Source organism: Homo sapiens, chromosome 15 (genome assembly GCF_000001405.40).
Source record: "Homo sapiens chromosome 15, GRCh38.p14 Primary Assembly".
Taxonomy (NCBI): Eukaryota; Metazoa; Chordata; class Mammalia; order Primates; family Hominidae; genus Homo; species Homo sapiens.
Genome location: NC_000015.10, coordinates 39966119 through 39985102, shown reverse-complemented (window position 1 = coordinate 39985102; position 18984 = coordinate 39966119). Strand labels below are relative to the sequence as shown.

The 18984-nt window shown below is 39.9% G+C and overlaps 1 protein-coding gene across 1 annotated transcript in view; it reads right to left on the bottom strand.

The window, feature by feature from the left end:
- The window catches only part of EIF2AK4 (eukaryotic translation initiation factor 2 alpha kinase 4), a 101477-nt gene that overhangs the window by 50489 nt on the left and 32004 nt on the right, over positions 1-18984 (bottom strand). Inside the window, exons 9-13 of the mRNA NM_001013703.4 lie at positions 17224-17759; positions 12089-12195; positions 11354-11511; positions 8259-8689; positions 6956-7025 (exon numbers count right to left, since the gene is read on the bottom strand). Of these exons, the coding sequence (NP_001013725.2) occupies positions 6956-7025; positions 8259-8689; positions 11354-11511; positions 12089-12195; positions 17224-17759 (1302 nt within the window). The remainder of the gene's footprint in view (positions 1-6955; positions 7026-8258; positions 8690-11353; positions 11512-12088; positions 12196-17223; positions 17760-18984) is intronic.

Here is an 18984-nt window from a genome sequence, read left to right as displayed (position 1 = left end):
CAATAGATGCAGAAAAGGCCTTTGATAAAATTCAACACCCCTTCATGCTAAAAACACTCAATAAACTAGGTATTGATGGAACGTATCTCAAAATAATAAGAGCTATTTATGACAAACCTACAGCCAGTATCATATGGAATGGGCAAAAGCTGGAAGCATTCCCTTTGAAAATCGGCACAAGACAAGGATGCCCTCTCTCACCACTCCTATTCAACATAGTGTTGGAAGTTCTGGCCAGGGCAATCAGGCAAGAGAAAGAAATAAAGGGTATTAAAATAGAAAGAGAGGAAGTCAAATTATCTCTGCTTGCAGATGACTTAATTGTATATTTAGAAAACCCCATTGTCTCAGCCCCAAACTCCTTAAGCTGATAAGCAACTTCAGCAAAGTCTCAGGATACAAAATCAATGTGCAAAAATCACAAACATTCCTATACACCAATAATAGACAAACAGAGAGCCAAATCATGAGTGAATTCCCATTCACAATTGCTGTAAAGAGAATAAAATATCTAGGAATACAACTTACAAGGGATGTGAAGGACCTCTTCAAGGAGAACTACAAACCACTGCTCAATGAAATAAAAGAGGACACAAACAAATGGAAAAACATTCCATGCTCATGGATAGGAAGAAACAATACTGTGAAAATGGCCACACTGCCCAAAGTAATTTATAGATTCAATGCTACTCCCATCAAACTACCATTGACTTTCTTCACAGAATTAGGAAAAGCTACTTTAAATTTTATATGGGACCAAAAAAGAGCCCGTATAGCCAAGACAATCCTAAGCAAAAAGAATAAAACTGGAGGCATCATGCTACCTGACTTCAAACTATACTACAAGGCTACAGTAACCAAAACAGCTTGGTACTGGTACTAAAACAGAAATATAGACCAATGGAACAGAACAGAGGCCTCAGAAATAATGCCACACATCTGCAACCATCTGATCTTTGACAAACCTGACAAAAACAAGCAATGGGGAAAGGATTCCCTATTTAATAAATGGTGTTGGGAAAACTGGCTAGCCATATGCAGAAAGCTGAAACCAAATCCCTTCCTTACACCTTATACAAAAATTAACTCAAGATGGATTAAAGACTTAAATGTAAGACCTAAAACCATGAAAATCCTAGAAGAAAACCTAGGCAATACCATTCAGGACACAGGCATGGGAAAAGACTTCATGACTAAAACACCAAAAGCAATGGCAATAAAAGCCAAAATTGACAAATGGGATCTAATTAAACTAAAGAGCCTCTGCACAGCAAAAGAAACTATCATTAGAGTGAACAGGCAACCTACAGAATGGGAGAAAATTTTTGCAATCTGTCCATCTGACAAAGGGCTAATATCCAGGCCGGGCGCGGTGGCTCATGCCTGTAATCCCAGCAATGTGGAAGGCCGAGGCAGTCGGTTCACCTGAGGTCGGGCGTATGAGACGAGCCTGACCAACAAGGAGAAACCCCTTCTCTACCAAAAATACAAAATTAGCTGGGCATGGTGGCGCATGCCTGTGATCCCAGCTACTTGGGAGGCTGAGGCAGGAGAATCACTTGAACCCAGGAGGTGCAGGTTGTGGTGAGCTGAGATCGTGCTATTGCACTCTACCCTGGGCAACAAGAGCAAAACTCAGTCTCAAAAAAAAAAAAGGCTAATATCCAGAATCTATAAGGAACTTAAACAAATTTACAAGAAAAAAACAACTCCATCAAAAAGTGGGCAAAAGATATGAACAGACACTTTTCAAAAGAAGACATTTATGCAGCCAACAAACACATGAAAAAAAGCTCATCGTCACTGGTCTTCATTAGAGAAATGCAAATCAAAACCACAATGAGATACTATCTCACTCCAGTTAGAATGGTGATCATTAAAAAGTCAGGAAACAACAGATGCTGGGGAGGATGTGGAGAAATAGGAATGCTTTCACACTACTGGTGGGAGTGTAAATTAGTTCAACCATTGTGGAAGACAGTGTGGCAATTCCTCAAGGATCTAGAACTAGAAATACCATTTGACCCAGCCATCCCATTACTGGGTATATACCCAAAGGATTATAAATCATTCTGCTATAAAGACACATGCACACGTATGTTTATTGCGGCACTATTCACAATAGTGAAGACTTGGAATCAACCCAAATGTCCATCAATGATAGACTGGATAAAGAAAATGTGGCACATATACACTATAGAATACTATGCAGCCATAAAAAAAGAACAAGTTCATGTCCTTTGCAGGGACATGGATGAAGCTAGAAACTATTATTCTCACTAACACAGGAACAGAAAACCAAACACTGCATGTTTTCACTTGTAAGTGGGAGTTGAACAATGAGAACATATGGGCACAAGGAGGGGAACATCACACATTGGGGCTTGCCTGTTAGGGGGTGGGGAGCTAGGGGAGGGATAGCTTTAGGAGAAATACCTAATGTAGATGACAAGTTAATGGGTGCAGCAACCACCATGGCACATGTGTACTATGTAACAAAACTGCATGTTCTGCACATGTATCCCAGAACTTAAGTGTAATTAAAAAAAGAAAAGAAAAGAAAAAGGAAAAAAAAGAAGCTCACAGAATTATTGAAAATGTGCTATTTCCAGTATCCTCTGTGTGGTTTACAGGTCTGTTGCTACACAGAACAATGATACAGTAAACAGAAAATAGGCAGGTATTAAACAGAAAAACTCCTTGTCAAGTCAATTCTTTCTTACCGCTGATAACCATCTATGGCTAAGAAGGTCAGAATGCATACAGGCTAATATTTGAAGGGTTCAGTTTTACTGGAATTCCATATTTTTTGGTGGTAGGCTTAGTTCAGAAACAGAAGACTAGAAATCCACCTTTAGGTAAAACAATTTAAAAGTGATGGCTGGGCACGATGGCTCACGCCTGTAATCCCAGCACTTTGGGAGGCCGAGGCGGGCGGATCACGAGGTCAGGAGATCGAGACCATCCTGGCTAACACGGTGAAACCCTGTCTCTACTAAAAATACAAAAAATTAGCCGGGCATGGTGGTGGGCACCTGTAGTCCCAGCTACTCGGGAGGCTGAGGCAGGAGAATGGCGTGAACCCAGGAGGCGGAGCTTGCAGTGAGCCGAGATCGTGCCACTGCACTCCAGCCTGGGCGATGAGTGAGACTCTGTCTCAAAAAAAAAAAAAAAAAAAGTGACCACATTATCAAAGGGCACACTGCCCTCAGAGGTACATGCTTGAAGAACATGCCCTCAGCTGCCACTTACAGTGAATGACCCTCTAGGACACTTCCCATACCATTACTCTGTTTGTCCCCAACAGCTAATTTTCTTTCTCATACATGATACTTTTCTTAAAAAAGTCTTTTTCCCTCAATAGATGTATTTGAATACTTATAACACCAAGTGCAGAAAAAGTATTAGTTAGTATTTGACCATTTCTGATTTATAATTTTTTTCTGAGGAAGAATTTTTTTGAACTTTTTCCTTTATCAAAGAAAAAAAAAAAAGCTCTGCTCTGGTAACAATCAGGTTCTACTCCTGAATCATTTATGGATGCTGGGGATTATCTGTATTACACTGTTAATCTCTTGGAGGTTTCTACCCATCAATTAGGATGCCCATGGATGCTGCCCTTAACTGAGCAAAACCAGGATTTGGTGCCCCTGTAATAATTATGTGCATAACAAATGCTAACACCAAACATTAACTTTGGCTTTAGCAGTAGTTCAGACTTTTTTTTTTTTTGAGACAGAGTTTCGCTCTTGTCACCCAGGCTGGAGTGCAATGACGTGATCTGGGCTCACTGTAACCTCTGCCTCCTGAGTTCAAGCAATTCTCCTGCCTCAGCCTCCTGAGTAGCTGGGATTACAGGTGCCCGCCACCATGCCTGGCTAATTTTTGTATTTTTAGTAGAGATGGGGTTTCACCATGTTGGCCAGGCTGGTCTCACTCTTGACCTCAGGTGATCCACCTGCCTTGGCATCCCAAAGTGCTGGGATTACAGGTGTGAGCCACTGCAGCCAACATAGTTTATTTATGCTATTATTCCTGGTTTAAATTTATAACTAATAAATGTTTATTAGTAGTGATTTCATTGACAAGGAAAGTACTTATAGAAAAACACACTGGCTAATACTCAGATCTCCTTCAAATACATTGAACTGCTTATTTAAGAGTCTACACTTAGACTTTTCTTTACTATGAATGAACCCTTGTAACTGCTGGTAATTATATTTTTATTCCTGGTAATAAAGTCATTGCAGGCTAGGCATGGTGGCTCACACCTATAATGGCAGCACTTTGGGAGGCTGAGGCAGGAGGATCATTTGAGCCCAGGAGTTCTAGGCTGCAGTGAGCTAGGATTGCACCACTGCACTCCAGCATGGGTGACAGATGGAGACCCTGCCTCTTAAAATAATAATAGTAATAAAGTTGTTGCATTCAGTCCCCAATAGTAGAATAATTCCCCACAGCCACAACTGACTGCCCTAGTAGTTTTTGGTGACCTCCCTTACTGGGCTAATTAGCACTTGATCAGAAGTCCAGGTTAGTATGTGAGGCCAGGAGTCCTATTATTGTGTTAGCAACAGTTGCATTAACTATTTCAAAAATTACTGCCTTTAATAAAAACAACCTCAAGCTCTATTTGTATTCACAATTGACATCTGGATTGGGTTTATGTTTGATGCATTGTTTGGAAAATTTGCAATACAAACTGGCATAAGAATTATTTATTCTGATGATGTACTTTTATGTACTTTTTATTAGAAAGTAGAACTAATTATAGATTTTCAGCTTGATGGATTTTCAGTTTTTTCTGAAGAATTTTCTTTACCATTAGTCTTCAAATTGGATACCATTGTGCACTGTTATACTTCAGAGAAAGGGTAAGCGTACGTCTATTTCAGTTCCTATGAGGTAGCTGCAACCCTTAAAAATGAAATGTCAACTCTAGGGTACATTGACGTTGAAAGAATAGTTAGGAAATAACTTCGTTTTGATGGGGTCATGATTAAGAAATGATATATCAGTTTTATTTATGGAATGTTTTATAGTGCATACAAATCAGCGACTAGCCAGCAAATATTTTTCTTTGAGCTTATGAAAGCTCTGTATTCTTTTGCCTTCAATCTGTTGTCTTCAAAACAAACAAAAAAGAGCTTCTTGCGCCTTCCCCTCCCCTCTTTTCTTCCTTTTTCTTTTTGCTTGTATGCACAAGATAGGACTTATTTCATAAGAAACAAAATGTCAGTATTTTCTTAAGCCGTGATGTGAAACCAACATGGTACAGAACACTAAATTTTGGTCCCGTGGCTGAAACTTGAGACTGACTAAAAGTAATGCCTGTGAAACTTGATATCTATCTGGGATGGCCATTTGATTTCTAAGAGGAATTTTGTATACTCCACAGAACTCCTGTCTATAGTAAAATTGATTTTCAGTTTTAAATGTGGGCAAAAAGACATTTTCTCCAAGATTTCAAAACTAATTCTTATTTTTAAATGGTTTACCAAAATTTGTCAGTACATTTTACATGTAGAAGCATTTTAAAAATAATTTCTAGCAAGCACTTGACAAGCTCCCCTCTTTGAATAAAATAATTTCTCATAATTAAGCAGCAGAAGATCTATCTTTACAAAGTATGAGGGATGCCAGATGTTGATAAACTTACTCTTTCTTAATCTGGACAAAGTAAACTTAACAGATTTTTCTGATGAGCATGTTTTATGAATCTTCCATTGTGCTCCATTCTATCACATGTGCATTTTTCATGTTAAACTGCAATTACTTAATCTCTTCCCCTATCCTTCTAAATTAATTTTCTGAAGTTGGAGTGTAGTCTTTTCCCCCTTAGGCTACGCATTAATCAAAGCTTTCTTTTCACCATGATTTTATAACGTCTAGTACATAATATTTCTACTTCCCACATCTTTGCTTTACACAGTCACCTTGCCCTTCCTCCCACCACCTAACAAAAAAGATGGTCATACTAACAGGTGAAGTGTATAAGGTGTCTGTGTGTTTTGTGTAGCTTCAGAGTTACATTGAAATTACCAGGCACAGACTTAGTCTTGTCATTTTGTTTACACATTGGGGAAAACAAATCAGTTTGTTAAACGTTTCATGTAACTGCACCGAAGTTTTGCCAACCTGGAAACTTGGATCTTTTCTGTGTAGTGACTTTTTAATTATAGTTTTCACAACCTGGAGATCAGACTGTTGCTTTCACATGATGTATGTAGTGTCTCACGACTGAAGTTTGCTTTGTTTTATAGTATCTGTACTCGTATTTTTCAAAAGCTATTTTGTCAACAGATGATGTATTTCTCCATTGAAAACACAACTAAAAAAACAGCACAATCTCAAAAAAAAATTATGAGATTTTTTGTGATTTTTTTGTTTGTTTAGCTTATCAGCTATCATTAGTGTTAGTATATTTTATGTGTGGCCCAAGACAATTCTTCTACCAGTGTAGCCAAGGGAAGACAAAAGCTTGGACACCCCTGCATTATAGGATCACGATACACAGTGTGAAAACACTGTTCTAGAGGATGGTCTATGAAAATAAGGAATCAAGATTAATTGACGTGGGACAGACCAAGGTAACTCCATGATGAGGTAACTCCATAAATGCAAATCTAGTTCATTAATTTGCATTCAATTCTTATCCCCAACCATATAAAGTTTCCCAAACCCTTAGAAAACTGTTTTCATCACATACAAAAATGCAGTGTCTCAACTGACTCCTCTCTTCTAAAAGGAGGTATGTTTTACTATGTGGATAAATAAAGAAGGTCTATAAATAAACACAGGTAGAATATATTTTAAATGAATAATCATCTTTTAAAATTTATGGTTTCTATATCTGAATATCAGATTAAAGCCTTAATACTTTACCTAAGGTTTATGACATCAGACGTCAATTATATCACGAATAAAATGATATAATTTCTATTCATATATATACCTGATTCTGACTTTTACTGTTCTCATCTTCATTGTCAAAGATAATATCACTTTCAGAATCTGAAGCAGGCCTGAAAAAGGGAAACAGAAATACTAAAGGAACAGAAATCCCTATTATCATTATAAACATGGACATTTTTAAATACTAGAAAGCACAAGAGGCTACAGACATCACACCATGAGCCCACAGGCATCAATGTATACTCTACACTGTGCTGATTTGTACTTGCTATTATGCAAAACACAGAACCCTTGATTTAATAAAAATTAGCCAGATTAAGTTTCCTCAAAAAATTTAATAGTGAAGAGTAATCATAAACTGTATCCACTTGGATAAAATAAAACAAAATCATGAAAGTAAACATCCAGGGTGGATTCTGAGAAGCATAAAATTTAGGATCATAATTATTGGTTTGGTACCTTTGGGGGCTGCAGTTGGCACTGTATCAAGACTCCAAATTAGTTCTTAAATGTTTCACAGGGTTGCAAGCCCTTATCCAAAGGAATGTCCTATGAGAAATTCTATTCAATGTATAAGATGAGGTATTGAATTTTCCTTTTTCCATGGCTTGGATTTTGGAGATCTTTTGAAAATAGCGGGAAAAAAAATCCTTTAGATTAGGGGTCCCAAACCTCCAGGCCATGGACAGGTACAGGTCCACTGCCTGTTAGGGCCGCACAGCCGGAGGTGAGCAAGCATTAAGGCCTGAGCTCCACCTCCTGTCAGATCAGCAGCCGCATTAGATTCTCATAGGAGCGCAAACACTATTGTGAACTGTGCACACGAGGGATCCAGGTTGTGCGCTTTTTCAGCAGTCATTATGAGACTCTAATGCCTGATGATGTAAGGTGGAACAGTTTCATCCCGAAACTATTTCCCTAACACCCGTCTGTGGAAAAATTGTCTTCTATGAAACCAGTCCCTGGTGCCTAAAAACGCTGGGGACCGCTCCTTTAGATTGCATTTGGTTACTCTCTAAAAGTGGTGGTTTTGTTTTGTTTTTGTTTTTGTTTTTAAACATGGTCAACACGTCTGGATTTCTAAATGAATCCCCTTTTCCCTGGCTTGGACTTGGTGGGGATTAATGTTGGGGGGCATTCGCTGGCCCGGGAGGCGGATGTTGCAGCCAAGGACGCGCCACTGACCTCCAGCCTGGGTGACAGAGCAAGACCCTATCTCAAAAAAGGAAAGAAAGAAAAGAAGGAAAGAAGGAAGGAAGGAAATGAAAGGAAAAAGGAAAAAAAAATAAAGAAAGGAAACTAGGGGGCGCATCAGAGGCAGCTGGTCCGCGCCGTGCGCTTACAGGAAGGACTGGGAGAAGACGCCACCGTGCTCGTCCTCGTCGTCGTCCTCGTCATCGCTGGAGCCCGGGCCGGTGGCGGGGAAACGGGCACTGGCCGAGCGCTCGCCCGAAGTGCTCCACTCCACCGAGCTGCTGAGGATGGGTGGCGGCGCGGCGGCCTCTACGCTGTCCAGGCCGTCTGTGTCGCTCGCCGGCTGCCCGCGTGCAGCTCGGTCATCCTTGGCCAGGGGCCCGGAGTCCGGGGGCGGCGTCCCCGGTCCCGCCGGCCGCTCGTGCCGCTCGATCCAGGCGTTGTAGTAGCGCACAATGTTCTCATGGTGCAGCCGTGACAGCAGTGTCACTTCGCCCTTGATCCTGCGGAACTGCCGGCTGGCCGGGTTGATGGGGATGCGCTTCACTGCGTAGCAGCAGCCGTCCAACTTGTTCTGCACCTGCGGCACAGCCAGGGGAAGGTCAGCCGCTCGGAGCCTTGCACAAACAGGCATTTGCACCGCACCCCATCCCCTCCCAAGGAAAGCGTGAAGTTCTAAATGAGTCCCACAGCTACAGTCAAGAACCACATGCCTGAAATTCTTAAACTGAAGAAAGCTTTGACTGCCACAAAATTCAGAAAACAGCCCACCCGACTCTAGATATATTTAGCTTGCTGGGAGACCCTGGGGAAAACATAATCTCCATTTTAATAATTAATTTTACTGACAGTTACCTCCCTGCTTTTCCAATGTATCTGCTATCTAAATTTCTAAGTGTCTTGATTTTAAGATTAAAAATTATTTTCTAAAGTCAGTGTAAAGTTTCAGATGATTTTAGTTTCTCTCTGATTTTTTTTTACACTTAAAGTCACTAAAAACAAATTAAACACCAAAAATATTAACAGACCTGAACACAAAGGTTAATTCCTTGATTTCTAAAGCCGTGTGAACTTGGGAAAATTACTTAATTTCCTTGAGACTCAATTTTCTTATCTTTAAAATGGCATTTATACCATTTCCACTACCCCAAATGGTGACTGTAAAGCACTTGTATCAAGGCCTCACAGAGAAAGGTGCTTAGCTTAGTCAATAACAGCAATTGCTATTAACACAATCACTGCCCATTGATTTTGTTATATACCTAAGATGATGTATACTGAAACCAGAACAATACAATTAACAACACAGTAAAATAATAAGAAAGCAAGAAAACGTTGCAAAGGCAAGTCCTCCCATCCTACATAGAGGCATCCTTATGCCAGGCAGTTTCACTATGTAATTGGGGTGACTGAAGTAACTTTTACAGAGTCTTATTCACTGAAACCTTGTAGTCACATCCGTGCAGGTCAACTGAGGTGATGATATACTCTAGAAAAGCAAATGCCATGTGGCCATGGGTGGCAGGAGAAATTAGTTGATTACAAAACACAAAACAGAATATCATTCTCTTGTTTGGCTCACAAGTTTCAATTAAACTAATAAAAGTCTAAGTGAAGTCCTGGGAATAAGAAGGAAGTACTACAAAATTGAGTTTCAGATTATCTTTTTTTGTATGGAAATAGTGACAAGAACACACACTTTGTAGTACAACAGAGGTGGGTCTGAATGCTGGTTTTATCTCCCTTATCTCAGGCAAAGGACATAACCTTCTCTGAGCTTCAGTTCCCTCATCTAGGGAATGAGGATCATACCCATCTCGTAAGAATGTCCTGAGATTTAAAGACAAGGTTTGTAAATCACCTGGCACACAATCTGAAATATGGCAGGTGCTCCAAAAAATGATAGCCCTGTGTTCTTTTACTGCCACATTAATAGGGAAGAGGACAGTGTAGGGCGGGAGGTGGGGATCTTGGCATTGCCTTTCGATCTCCTGTCTCAGTACACATCATATACGAACTGGGTTGGGAGTAAAGCTTGCTATACTGGAAACCCCTAGGAATTCATTTACTGAAGTGAAAAGGTGCAGAAACAGTAATGGGTCCAACTGCTAATGAATGCCAGATCACTGGGCAGGCTGCCCTACTCTGACACAGAAGCACAGAGGTAGGAGGTGAGGGCTGTGGATTCTCACAGGGAGAAACTACTGGAAACCGTGGGGGCTTAAGTTACTCAGATGTTTTTGTTATATGAGCTTGCCTATCATTATTAAGTACTTGTAAAGAGATGAAATTTGTTACTATTCTACGTTCAAGAATTTAAAATAGAATGAAGTTAAAGGATTTGATCAAAATGATATTGTGTTAAAGGGACAGTATACGCTTCAATCATCCCCTCCTCTTAGACATAATTATGATCTTTCTGATCAGGACATCTGTCTTGCTTGTCTGTCTTTTACCACAGGAAAACTAATTTAATTCCTTTTTTAGTGTAAAAGTTTTTCTACAGTAACAGTAATGCTTCCTAATGATACTCTCAGAATCCTTAACAGACAATATACTCAGTTGATGGTGGGTTACCTTCATATGTGAAAGATGACATGTACTGTATATGGACTTAATACAATAATCTGGGTCTCCTAATTTACAAAGAAATACTTCTATTATATAAAAACAGCTGAAACCTCTTTCTACAAGGGGCAGATAATAATAAAAGTCACCCAAATAGACTAGAACGAAGAAAGGAAGACCCAACAACAGTGTACCTTAATAATACATCGCTACTTTCCTGTCCCAATAATAGCTGGAAAATAAAAGCCATCGAGACCTGCTGGGGCCATCTCCCAGTTTGAAGTCCATCTCTCTTCTAACCTTAGAACCTTTTTATCTACAGCAACTCTAACAGCAAACAGGAGAAAAAAAGAACAATGTTCTTTCTGAACCAAAGCACACAAAAATGTTCTTTCTGTGGAGGTCTTGATTCCACTTGAAGTGCTGTTATAACCATGTGTGTTTCATGTTAATGCTCCACATGAAGCAAGGAAAGAGGAGTGGGACAATTCTCAACTGTGTCCAGCGTAACTTAAATAAAACCTTTAACTCCAGGAAGGTGAGGATGAGCATAGTATCCAACAGCCATATTCACTTCCCTCCCCACTCCCAAAATAAAAGTAAAGTCCATGAGTCTTTGTGGAAATGGAACAGAGAAGGAGCTCTAAAGGGGACTGGGAATGACTCTGTACCACACCTTGATGACAGCTCCAAAAGCTCCTTTACCAAGAAGTTGTAATTCTTCAAACTCAATGAAGTATCGGGAAAACTGTCTCTGTGTCTCACTAAAGAAGGCAGCACTGGGTAGCCGGTTGCTAGGAATAACAGTCTCAACATAATCTTGTCCTTCAGAATCTGAGATAAAACAGGGAGTAAGAGGCACATGAGGCATTGGAAATTTAGGAAGAGCTACATAGCCAACAATGATGGAAGCCCTGGAAGAAGAGCTCCAACCAGTAGTTTGAAAAATTACCTCTTACCTGAGTGGCCTTTTAAAACTTTTCCTCACCTTGCCCTCCTTAAAGTAGGCAGAAATATATAATTAGCCCAAGTTTACAGGTGGGGGATTATATAGAATAAGTGACTTAACTATAGAGCTAGAACCAAAACTCAGGTCTCATGATCCATCCCAATCTCTACCGAGGTTCCTTAATCTCAGGTGCAGCAGGAAAAATCTAGTTACATGGCACTATGGGTGACTAAACACTACAAGAGACTACAGCAATGGACATTCATTCCATCAATAGAGACTAGAAAAATCAGGGTGGCAAAACAGTCCCATGCACATGGCACACATCAAACTAATGGATTTAGTTCAGAATAAAAGACATAAAATAACACATGCAGCCCCTTCCAGTTTTTGGTTTATGTATACTTTCAAAATAATTTAATGTCAAACAGGTTACCAAATAAAGAAAGGTAACAGACTCACCTTCAGGACTTTGTTCCACTAGAGGCATTTTTGGCTGGGGATTTATAAAGCTGTGTTTCAACAACTGCTGGGGACTCCATCTTTCCTTGTCATCCAAGCACACACATCTCGGTGAGAGGGAAGGAAGAATCTTAGCATCACAAACAATCAGTGCTAAACTAGTTAATCCAAGGCATTAACTATGGGTTTATTTTTTAAAGATACACATTATAGAATTCATGTTACTCAAAGACCAGAATGTACTCTCATAGGTGAATTTAAATTAATAAACATTCCTGCAGGATTTACATGCTATGCGACAGGCTGGGTACAAGAGGCGAATCAAAAAAAGGCATCTCTAGATGAGAAGACTTACCCTCATGGAACAATTTTTTAAAAGTCTAAGGTAGCACAAGTAGGCTATAAATTTTCACCTCGATGAACAGTTTAATGCCTTGTCATGCCAAACTAAGCCTTTGCAGGAACCGGTTATAAATAAAGCTTTCGAAAGACAAAGCAAATCAGAGAGTTGGTGCAGCAGAGTGGCTCAGTATGACGAGCTTTAGATGAAGCCTGCTCATTACAGGATGAAGCAAGTTGGAAACATTTAGGGAAGGCTTTTTTAAAGTCCCATATTCTATTGCATACTTTTTTTAAAAATTGGTTTATGCTTTTTTTTTTTTTTTGAAATAGGGTCTTGCCGTATCGCCCAGGCTGCAGTGCAGTGGTGTGATCTCAGCTCATTCCAACTTCTGCCTCCCGGGCTCAAGCAATCCTCCCATCTCAGTAGCTGGGACTACAGGCAGGCACCACCAGGCCTGGCTAATTTTTATATTTTTTGTAGAGATAGGGTTTCACCACACTGCCCAGGCTGGTCTCCAACTCCTGAGCTCAAACAATCTGCCTGTCTCGGCCTCCCAAAGTGCTGGGATTACAGGCGTGAGCCACCGTGCCCGGCCTCATATACTTTCTTTTAATCTTCATTCCTTGAACCCATTAACTTACTGTTTAATGGTGTAATAGACAATTCTTGTTTTGTTTTTTAATGAAGAAAAACAAGCCATACCTTTAACCCAGGGCTTCTCAAAGTGGGGTCCCTGGCCAGTAGCATCAGTATCCCCTAAAAAATGTTAGAAATACAAATTCTACTATACCCCTGACCTAGTAAATCAGCATCTCTGGAGGTTTGGACAGTGATCTGTGCTTTAACAAGAGCTCCAAATGATTTCAATGCAAGCTAAAGTCTAAGTTAAAGTCTAAGTAGTTAAACTGTAACTGATTTAAGCTGGCCTTTTTTTTTAATTTTAATTTTTTTTTTTGAGATAAGGTTTTGCTCTGTCACCCAAGCTGGAAAGCAGTGTTGCGATCATCACTCATGGCAGCCTCGAACTCCTAGACTCAAAGCATCCTCTTGCCTCAGCCTCCTGAGTAACTGGGACTACAGGCGTGTACCACCATGCTGGAATGTTTTGTTTATTTATTTTCATTTTATTTTATTTTATTATGAGACGAAGTCTTGCTCTCTTGCCCAGGCTGGAGTGCAGTGGCACTATCTTGGCTCACTGCAACCTGCAACCTCTACCTCCCAGGTTCAAGCGATTCTCCTGCTTCAGGCTCTCAAGTAGCTGGGATTACAGGTGAGTGTCACCATGCATGGCTAATTTTTGTCTTTTTAGTAGATATGGGGTTTTGCCATGTTGGCCAGGCTGGTCTTGAACTCCTGACCTCAAGTGATCTGCCTGCCTCAGCCTCCCAAAGTGCTGGGATTACAGGTGTGAGGTATCACGCCCTGCTGTGCTGGAATACTTAAAAAAGTAGAGATGAGGTCTTACTATGTTGCCCAGGCAGGTCTTGAACTCCTGGACTCAAGAGATACTCTCACCTAGGCCTCCTGCAATGCTGGGATTACAGGCATGAACCACCATGCCAAGCTACTTTCATTACAACGGCCCAAGTAGTACGACTTGGTAGCACTTGACCTATAATTAAAACAATATACTTAAAAGAATCAACTGTCGTTGTGAGTTCTGGACTTAAAAATCTATACATACAAAGTGGTGACAGCAACTATCATAAATGGTAACTTTTTTTTATGTTGCAGCAGTAAAAAGCAAGGTACTCCTAATTTCATAGCTTGAACAGGCAAAAAAATTCTAATAAAACCATTTGTATAAGATACCGTATTTTCCTTTAAATTTAAAATTACTTTTTAATTATATCATTAAAACATATATACCTTCTCCTTGCAAATATTAAAACATTACTGATAATGATAAAGCCTTTGACCAACCTCCCCTTCCAATTCTTTCTTCCACTTAGGGTGTCTCATTGTAGAGATTTTTCTATGCATTTATACACATAAACATACAACCATCCAAACAAAATAGTATTGTTTTTTGATTTTTTTAAGCAATATCATCTTATATACATTATTCTTCAGCTTGCTTTTTTCATTCCACCATGTGTCTTGGAGCTCTTTCTAAGCCAGTACTTAAAGATTTTTTTTAAACTTCTGTATAGGCGTGGACCTACCAGAATTTATTTACACATTCTCCTACTGTTGAGATTATTTCCAATTTTTCACATTTTCACAAAATGCTGCAATGAGCATCCCTATATATGCCCTGTTGGGTTTCTGAATTGCGTTATCAACTGTAACTCAACTGTGACATAAATGTTATTGACTTGAAAGTAAATCTGGATCAGAAAAATGTTACAGCCTACCTAGAATGCACAGTATTTTTAAGAGATTTATAGCCACCAAGATCTCACTTTAAAAATGAACTTCTCTGAATCAATAATTTTGGCAACAGGGTAGCCGTATATAGAAAAGGTTCAGCTTTGAACAAAAAGGGATAAAATGCCTGGCAACACCCACATTTCTTCATAGTTCTCACTACTGAGGATGGTGATGAAAACCAGCACTGACTCAGTCTGGGCCAAGTGCCAGGCACTTTATGGCTGTTAACTAATTTAATCCTCACAACCACCTCATGAGGTAGGCAGTGCTATTATCCCAGTTTCACAGAGGAGGAAACGCAGGGCAGGGGGTTAATTCACTCAGCCAGTAGGACATAGAGGTGAGACCTGAACCCAGATGTTTTGACTCCAGAGTCTTACCCATCACAGAGGCTGATTTGAAACAAAATCTTGCTCCAAAGGGTGTTCACTAATATGTAAAAATATAACTACAAATGGAAGGTTGCTGTTTTCATTCTTTGTGAATGGCATTTTTCTTTTGTTAACCAGGGCTGGACAGCAAAGTTCATAAAAACAGTTCTTGGCAGCTCCTTAACCAAGCACAGTCTATCAAACCACTCCAGGGAGAGAAGTATACAAAATAGTCTAAAGAAAAATCTTGTTAAAAGAATAAGAAGGCCATGCGCTATGGCTCACGCCTGTAATCCCAGCACTTTGGGAGGCCGAGGTGGGCGGATCACGAGGTCAGGAGATTGAGACCATCCTGGCTAACATGGTGAAACCCTGTCTCTACTAAAAATACAAAACATTAGCCGGGTGTAGTAGCGGGCGCCTGTAGACCCAGCTACTCAGGAGGCTGAGGCAGGAGAATGGCGTGAACCTGGGAGGCGGAGCTTGCAGGAAGCTGAGATCGTACCACTGCACTCCAGCCTGGGCGACACAGCCAGACTCCATCTCAAAAAAAAAAAAAAAAAAAAAAGAATAAGAAATTGTGCTGATCTCAAGTTTAAAACTGACAGAGCATACAGCTATTTAAGAAGAGAACTAGGAAAGTTTTACCTACCGAGCCCATTCATTTTGCTACTAAACGGGAAAGGAAAGGTACTTCTACTTAAACCTCCCAGTACTGTTTTTAACAACACATGATGCTATTGCTAACCTTGACTAAATTACTCTTCATCAATGAAGAAGGCAGAACACTAAAGGTGACATTTTGAAGATGGAAATGAAACTTTCCATCTGTGATTCTATCATCATATTTGTCATTTTGGCCAACCTCATTGTTAGGGTGCATTTAAATAAATATGTTTAAAGCTCCATTGCATTAAAAAGATACCATAAAAGATTTCTTTAGAAATCTTAATATTTTCATATACTTCAAGGCGAGAAACCAACATAAAGAATCAAACTTGGCCCCTTTCCACAACTGTATGTATGTGTGTGTATATATATATATATATATCATATTCACTTTACACAAAAACAATCTCAAACACAGGTGCAGCTACTTTCACATCTGTAATGGTAAGACCATCAGTGACAGAGCATAACAATGTAAACCAGGCCAACTGGCTACTGCGATAGGTGGAATAGGGAAAGAAATGTGAAGGGTAAAAGAAATGTTGCAAATGGAAGAAGTGAATAAAAGCAAATGATTGGGAAAAAGAAGGTAAAAAACAAAGAGTGTCAGAAAGGGAAGAAACCAGCCCAGGTCAACTCCTGCAGGATAGCTGGACCAGAGGAGCATCTGGAAAAATCCAGACTGAAGGGATCTTATCTCCCATTTAACAGAAACTGACAGAACTTAGCTCTGGCTTGGACTGAAAACAGAGGCAGGACGAAATTAGAAAACACTTAAGTGAAGGACCTGGACAAACATCTTAGGCCTGAGGAAACATCTCAAGAAGGGTTCTCCCAAATTGGATAAAACTTGGCTTTGTAATTAAACATGCACCTGTGATTTACAGGTATTGAAACTCCTCTGGCTAGACTAAGGAAGTTATTTGCATTCTACAACTTAAATGAATGAGACAGCCAATGAAGAATGGTTAAGAAGCACAAGGGGCAGAATCTCACTCCCAAAGCTGTTTTTGAATAAGGAGCCTCGTCTTTGACCCTTTAGGAACCAGAGCAAAGGTCAGTATTTGGAATACCTAGGGCATTTCTCACCATAACCATCTCTATTGACTTCCAAGAGTATCCCATCAGTCCCCCAAAAGGAGTTTGAAAATCAAGTGTGAATTCCAAGTGAATTTCAGAGAATGTGGTAGTTAAGAGAATCACCAACCTACATGAGAAAACAGAACATATGAGACTAGGACAGGATTGGGAGAGCAAAGAATGAAGTCCTGTTCCTCACTTCTCAGCTTCCACATCACTTAGATGTCTGGCACACTCCAGCACAATCAAAAGTACAGGAGTAAAGTGCTATTAGAGAGAATCTCAGTGATACTCACTTCTTTAGAAAATCTTGAAAGTCAGCTGGTAAGTCACTAGGGATGGTCACAGGGTACTCTCCACATTCCTGTCCTTGGCTGAGGGACAGCAGCAGAAGGCCAAGACGCCAAACATCTCCTTTCTTCCCCGTTTTATAAGGCAGAGCATTGTCACTAAAACGAACTCGGGTTTGCTCAAACACATCCTCCTTGCAAATGTCTGCGAGGCGCTTAGAAATGCTATAGTCCGTAATCTTGACGGTGCCTTCTGCATCCACCAAGACATTAGATGCACTCAGGACCTTATGCACCACAGAATTGCTGTGCAGATAATCAAGGCCTGACAGGAGCTGAGCTGTGTACCTGCGAAGCTGATGCACAGGGATGGGGCCTGAGTGGCTCAGGTGTGCAGCAAGAGAGACCCCACTAATGTGCTCCACTAAAATGTCCACCACGATGGAGTCGTCTTGCTCTTTGAGATTCATTGCAAGGTAGCGTACTACATTTGGATGGCTCAATTTTACCAGTGAGTTGAATTCTGTTTCTGTTCCTTGAATCTGATAAGTTAAAAAAAAAAAAAAAGAATATTGGGCCAGTCAACATTAACTTGGGTTTCATTTCAAAAGTGAAGTATTTGATCATACAAGATGGGGGCATAAAAAAACAAAACCAAAACCAAAAGTGAAGTATTTGATAGAAAATATACTTTCAAATGAGAGGAGAACAAATATGCCCTAAACTGAATCCTCCCCAAACCATATGGTCAATCTAATAGTTCATAAAGATGGAAAAAATTTAGCTAATTCTCAACTTCTCTAATCTCAAAACCTACTATGCATATACTACAAAATTAGTGAACAGTTTTTAAAATAAAATTCTTTTGAGGTATAGCCACTAGAAAAAACAAACTTTAATTTAAAAATAACCTTTTCTGATTAGCTTTGTATTTGGGTTTTTAAAAATATAGTATATGATTTGAGCAGCAGAATAATGGCCACATCCTAATCCTCAGAACCTCACATGGCAAAGAGGAGTTAAGGTTGAAGACAGAAAAAAAAAATCTTTTCTGATTTAATAAAGATCATTGTCAACATTTAAAAAATTAGTTTGATAGAAAATACCCACATGTTATCTATGTGGTCACCACCCAGTGATAACTCAAGATTTTGGCACATTTACTTTCAGTTTTCTTTCTATACTTAAATACACACACATTTCTGAACACCATGCTTTATCTACGTTTTTGTAAACCTTGTTATTATGTAACACTGCAATATGCAATACTGAATGTTCTCCTTATGCTTGGTTATAAATCATAATTTATAAATTAACTTAAAAATCCTCCGGTCCCCCAAAATTCAGTTTTGAAGCAGTATTTTTCTTTTCTTTTTTTTTTTTTGGAGACAGGGTCTTGCTCTATCACCCAGGTTGCAGTTCAGTGGCATGAACACAGCTCACTGCAGCCTCAACCTCCTGGGCTCAAGCAATTATCCCACCTCAGCCTCCCGGGCTCAAGCAATTATCCCACCTCAGCCTCCCAAGCAGCTGGGACCACAAGTATGTGCCACCATGCCCACAGATTTTTAAATTTTTTGTAGAGACAGGGTTTCACCATGTTGCCCAGACTGGTCTCAACCTCCTGGGCTCAAGTAGTCCTCCTACCTTGGCCTCCCAAAGTGCTGGGATTACAGGTATGAGTCACTACACCCAGCCCTGAAGCAATATTTCAAGAGTAGGGAAAAGAAGAATTGCAAAAAAACCCAATTATGAACTAGTATTTAG